The following is a 6,489-nucleotide window of genomic DNA, read 5'->3' as shown; positions in this document are numbered from 1 at the left end:
ATTGTAAAACATGGGGAATGCAAGCATATTATATGAGCAGAAGGAGTGGAATATCTGTGGACAGTCCTGATGGCTCAGACCCTTAGTTCCCACAGTGTTCTGAGCACACCAGCTGATCTCTGCTGACACTGACCTCCATGCATGGCATTTGCCTGCCGTCCCTGGCACCATAGGAGGTTATGGTTGTTGAGTGCAGTCATTCCTTAACCACTTTGCTATCCTGCCTTATTATTGTCAATAAACACTATAACATATGCTAAATTTTAGCATTCTGTGAAAGAGAAAAGGTGTATGATATTGTTTCTAAGGCGGAAACCGAGACAGCAAGATCTTACTGCACCATTCTGTGGCTTCCCAGCGCCAAGTCATTCTGATGACCCAGGTCTCACACTGGCACCTTCAGAAAACCATGGTGCCAGGAAGTTAAAATCTTATTTGAATCCAAATAAAGGACATATTCAGACTCCTAGTGGCTCATGATCTGAAGTCTAAGGTTTATTCGGAATTGGCGGAGATAGCACTGGTAAATATATATGTTTTTTTAAAATGAAGGATCCAAAAATACGACATTTCCCTAAGCATTAAATCAGACTGAGAAATTTGTACCAGTGATTTGGAGCCTGGGGGTAACGAGGCAAAAACTTCATGAGCTTATTCCGGGACCCCCACCTGAGTCAAGGCCTCAAAGCTTAAGGATACAAAGTTCCAGTGACGGCTTGTTGCCAATAACAGAGAAGGCGGAATCATGAGCAAGCCGGCTGTCTGTCCACCGAACAGAGTGCTCGCAAATGCTTGGCAACACTCCCCGCCTGTGTTATTCCCTCTTTCAGCCTGGAGGGCTTTCCACGTTCACAGCGTGCATCCTCTTGACATTAAAGACATTATCCCAGGGCGCTTACCCTGAGCAAAGCTTCCTCTTCTCAGCTCCTACAGTTTGGCTGATGCTGCTCAAGAGTCCCCCACAGTCCTGGCATCTGGTTTCCTTCTGGGAGGCATCTGCCCTGCTGAAAGACAGGAGGCTGTGGAAAGAACAGATAGAACAGGATCCCCGCGGCTCTGATTCTTAAGGGAAAGCAACATGACCTTGGCTGGTGGATCGGCTCACAAGAGGCTTAAATAGAGGCCCCGTTGCTCCCTACAAGAAGTTTGGACACACTGTGATAAGGCATTTGAAAGAAAACCTTTCGAATACAGTGCAAATCTGTATCATAAACAAAAGAAGCCTTTGGTATGCCCTGTGTGCCCCTGCACAGTGCACTCAGTACATAACTACACGCTGTTCTGCAAAAAAATGAAACAGCTGGAATTTTTAATATCATGTCTGAGATTTCCTGTGAGAACATGGTGTACACGTTCTCCTAAGTTCAAGGTGCGATTTTCCTCTAATTGTTTTCAATAGTTCCTTCCACTGTTAGCATCTTTCAGAAAAATATCAGCACATTGCTTTCCCTAGAGGGAATAGAAGAGAATAAGATCCTATGATTTAATCTTTAAAAAGTTGAGAAACAAAAGTCAAAAACATCCAAATTTAATGCTGCCTTTTCTAGCTTATGCATGTTACGTTAATACCTAAATGATGTCCAGAAGTATTTACTTGTGTCATATTTACAAAACTGGCTGACAGAGTTTAAGAAACTTGTTTTGGCTTTTGTTATTAATGTTCTCAGGAACAATTGACATGAAAGTTCTGGTTTTCTATAAAACAGAGTTTTGACATTTTTGGAGAAACTTAAAATAGGTCTACTAGGTTCTGGTGAATTCAGAATATTCAGAGGACATAGCATGACTGATGAGGAGCATAGGATTTTGTGCCTCAGAGCACTTACCATTGATTAAAGGCCTTTAGGTTGGATTCTGACCTGGAGATAGTGTCCACTGACTTCACGGCAGTCTCTCTTCTGCAAATAGGGGTAGTGCTTTGCCTCATCCTTATGGAAATGATATAGTGGGATGTGAAAACATGTGGTTTCCCCCTCGAAGTTCTAAACATTCCAAAAGTGTCATTTACTCACTAGATCCTTAATAGATCTTCCTCCTAATATGGATTTTTAAAAAAAAAATTTAGATCACTCTTCTTTCATGATTTGAGAAGGTGTTACTTAGAGAAATAAGGCAAAAGGAAAACTTTAAGATTGACATTTGTCTAGGGTGCCTCAAACATTTCTAGAACATTAGATAGATTATCACTCGATCTCCTGTTTTGAAAGCAAATTGGTTTCTTGAAGACCCACTTTGCTGATGAGACCTGTGGAGGTTTTCATCGCAGATGTTTATTTACACGGAGAAGAACCCCTGAACACGGTGACCAGATGAAAGGCAGCTCAGGGCTGAGCTCTCGGGACTCAGCTCTGCCATCAGCCACCAGCCACATTTTCCTCTGAGTTTATGAAAATGATGCACCCTTACACTCAGTGCTACAGTTCTTGAGTCAGCATTGTGCAAGTTGATTATCCAAATTGGGCCATTCTTGTCATACCCAACTAAATCAGAGAAGACGGGTCTGAGTAAAAGGCACTCAGGGTACATGACGTCACTCTAGAAATGCTGTCGTCTGCAAGTCCCGTGGCTGAAACTGCGTGTTGTAACCAGAGACCACTTTCATCTGTAGCAGGTGAGATAACAACTGCAAATCACGGACTAGTTTTGCCCACCACGGTCACCCACCAATCAGACCTTACCAGCCCCCAAAACTTTGCTAATATCAAAGAACTTTCTCACAGGACCACAGAGGAACAGTCCTCTTTTTCCACCTTCGGACCACCCTGTCTGCCTCTATATTGTGAATCGCAATTCTTTCTTCCTAAATATTAAATTTAGAGATTCATCTCTACATTTTTAATTTGCTTTAGAGAAGGTCAAGCAGACACTTGCCAAACCCTGTGGTTTCCTTGTCACTGTGTGGCTGGGTTCGTTCCTCTTCATTTTGTCCTCACTCACAGCTTCCTTTGTCTGAAGCTTCCTTCTCACTGACCCGCTTACCTCGGGTGGCTTCTCTTCTGTTGTATCTTAAGAGGTAGCTGCTGCAAGTCTTTCTTAATTCACTGGGGAATAATGGCAGCCTCTCCAGGCCTTCTGTGTCAAGACCTCAGTCCTGGTTGGCTGCAAAGCTCCTCATCCAGCCTTGCCAGATAGTCTTGTTTTGCTTTCTTCTTCTAGTCTTCAAATCCCACTCTGATTTTGAGATTCTTTTGTTAAAGCCCAGCAGCAAGGATGGTGGAGGGTGCATTGGGTGTTTGGGTGGCAGGACAGCTGGTTTCTACTCTTGGGTTGGAAAATGCCAAGCGATTTGGCTTTGGGGAAATGACTCCCCTTTTTGGTGTGAGGGATTATTTCTAGTAAACTGTAATGAAGAGATTTCATATCAGTCAACAGAAGTGGTTCTGAGCATGATCACTAAGTGGGAGCGGGAGTCACAGGGCCTCAAGGCTTATCTCCTCCAGGGCAGTTTTATCCCTGCCCCAGGAAGGAAGTATGTGGTAATATATTTCCTGGTCTGGCTGCTGGTCGGAATTTGTGAGGGTGATTGCCAAATGAATTCTCTATATGTAATCCAGATATCAACTGGCATTTCCTGCTCCTGTGATCTAGATAAGAGAGGCCTAGCAAGCAGGCCACTTGCCGTAGGTGCCGAGTTTATGGTCCGCATCACTTTTTTATGTAGGCTGAACCTGGCCCACATGACATCTGCCCAGATATAAAATTCCACCTCTTCCTTGATTTCCACCTAAAATGTCACTCACCTGAGGCAAGGATCCATGGAGATTTGAAGGAGACATGTGAGAGTACGCTTCAGAAAGGCACGTCCTCCTAGTAAATGTTCAATACTGAGATTCTTAAATGTTTCCTCATGCCCAAGTCTGTATGTTCTACATTCTTGAGAGGGAACCTAATAAAAGGAGTTATTTTTCTCGACAAATGGAGTTTATAAAAAGGACTTTGAGATCTTTCAAAATATGATCTAATATAAGAATCACTTATTTTTGGAAACACATTTGTTTATTCATTCACAGTTACATTCATTCCTTCTAGGCTTTTTTGGTTTGGCCTCTACAGAAGAAATTATAAAACTGGTTCAGTACTGCCCCCCATCAGATACACTAATTCCCCAAATAACGGAAGCCAGTGATTTCTGCATGTGAATTGTCCAGCTTTTAAAGTCAGCCATTTGGCCGTCTGTGGCCATTTGGTGATGTGTTACTTGTGTATGGACTGCCAGGGTTACTAGTGTGGTCTCGATGGAAGGTAGCTCTTCAAGGAAGTAGTAAAAGCCAAACTGCACAAAGCAAATCCTGTAGCTGACAACAATGTGCCCAGGCTTTTCCAGATTTGCTCTAGTTATTCCAATAAGCACTATTCAAACTTATAAACAGATGAAAGGAGAAAAGAAAGGAGCCTTTAAAGACAAAAAGAGGGCTTCTTTCTGCCAGTGAAACATTTCTCAGGTAAGATCACATCATCTGCAATATGGCTTGCAAATGTGTGTTTAAGATAATTTTTGGAACAGCCTAGACCAACCAGTTAAAGTGACTAGGGGTTAAACTCCAGGAGGCACAACAGAATATATATGTCTATATATATATACATATCTTCACACCAATACACACAAAAACCTTTTATCTCTTTATTTGTTATTTCACAAACCCTAATAACTCTAAGCTGCATAATATCTCTCTTAACGATATAGGCGTTAAGAAGAAACTGCTTAGGCAGATAGTGAGGGTATGGGAATCCTCAGTAGGTTTTGCTTTTTAATGAAAAGCAGCCCCAAAATCATTGTCTAACAAAGATCAGCCTGTAAGATGGAGCTGCAGACACAGACAAGCCAGCGGCAAGCTTGCATGGGTGAAGGTCAGCAGGAAAAAGCTACCGGGACTAGGCATGTTCAAAACGGAGGCTCCATCTCCCCTTCCCTTTGCCAACCACGTGTACAGGAAGGAGCAGACAAGATGGCACCGGTCAAGTGGAAAGTCCATTTGCATAATAAGATTCGGGTGGGGTGGCCAGCCTTCTCCGCATGCCGTGTAAACCTATGTAAGCTCTAGGGAAATCAGACACCGCCCCCTCAAGCCTGCCTAAAAAATCCTGCACACTCCTTGCCGGCTGGTCTTCCTTTGGGAAACCCTCTCTCTCTCACTAGAGAGAGACTATTCTCCTTCCTCTTTCTTTTGCCTATTAAACATCTGCTCCTAAACTCTTCCTGTGTGTCTGTGTTCTAAATCTTCCTGGCACGAGACCAGGAACCCTGGGTATTTACTCCAGATAACTTTCCATATGATTTGTTGAGCCTTATACGCTAGGCGCTGAGTTAGTTACTGACTACAAACAGTTGAATTTGTTGTAATTTTCTAAAAACCTCATATAATTTCCTGTGAGCTTGACCCTTCTGTTGAAGTCCAGCTGACATTTTGGTGAGTGTTTCTCTGTGGACTGATTCACCCCGTAGATAACTAGGCAGGAGGCCTGGACGGAGCTTGGGAAGGCTCTGCCTGCAGTGGGTGTGCAATGGGAGGAAGGTTTTCCCCATGAGCCTCTTCACTTAGGGTCCATTTGAATGGGACATTTATCTCCCAGCCCATCTTCAGGGGGAATCTGCCGTTGGTGAGTGGAGACAAAGGGCAGGAGTTGGAGTCTCAGCACTGTATTACGCACCCCACCACCATCTCTGGAGCCAAATTCCCAATTTGCTTCAGGCTTCGTCTCATATTGCACGTCCCCCACACACTGATCTTCCAGGTCTGTGAAGCATCGAAAACCTTTTCCATTTCAGGGCTGTTTGTGCTGTTTCCTCAGCTTCAATTTTGCCCCTTCCTGAAGTTTCAGGGAAGTCTTCTCCGTTTAGACCTGACCGTCAGAGAGGCATTTCCTGCCCCTCTCCGTCAGTCCCATTTTTGTTTTTACATAGCGCGTTCATCAGTTTTTATTTATTATTTGTCTATTCAGCACTTTTTTTTCTGTTTGTCCTGTTTTACTTTTCCATTAGAATATAAGCAACGAGAGGACAGGGCTGGGTCAGGCTTGTTTGCTATTATATTTGCAATACTTATCTTGTAGGCAATTAATGAATGTAAATAAATTACCTTCAATGCTATGAATTACAATAGTTGCATTTGCTTCTTCACACAAGTGTCCCACGATTACCATAAGCTTGTATGTGTGTTTAGGTTCTTTTTTTCATAGCATTTCCCATAAGATGATTATCTGAGTCAATGCATTGCTTAGGGTTCACCAGAGAAACGTGTGTGTGTGTGTGCGTGTGTGTGCGCGTGTGTGTACATGTCTGTGTAGGAGGGTGAGACAGACAGAGATTTCGTTGAAGGAATTAGTTCACATGATTATGGAGACTGCAAGACCAGAATCTGTAGGATAGACCAGCAGGCTGCAGACCCAGGAAAGGGCCCACATTGCACTTCTGAAGGCCGCCGGCTGGCAGCATTCCCTCAGGACTGCGGGAGGTCAGTTTTTGTTCTATTCAGGCCTTCAACTGATTGG

The 6,489-nt window shown here is 43.5% G+C and overlaps 1 long non-coding RNA gene across 1 annotated transcript; it reads right to left on the bottom strand.

Moving 5' to 3' along the window:
- Nucleotides 1-474: 474 nt before the first annotated feature.
- Nucleotides 475-2,355, bottom strand: LINC01262 (long intergenic non-protein coding RNA 1262). Its single transcript, NR_121679.1, has 3 exons — nucleotides 2,232-2,355; nucleotides 1,827-2,035; nucleotides 475-1,019 (listed from the first exon to the last, which is right to left on the bottom strand). It is a non-coding gene; the product is annotated as a long intergenic non-protein coding RNA 1262 (long non-coding RNA).
- Nucleotides 2,356-6,489: the final 4,134 nt, after the last annotated feature.

Source organism: Homo sapiens, chromosome 4 (genome assembly GCF_000001405.40).
Source record: "Homo sapiens chromosome 4, GRCh38.p14 Primary Assembly".
NCBI lineage: Eukaryota > Metazoa > Chordata > Mammalia > Primates > Hominidae > Homo > Homo sapiens.
Note: the sequence above shows the minus strand (reverse complement) of the source record. Positions and strands in the feature narration are given on the sequence as shown.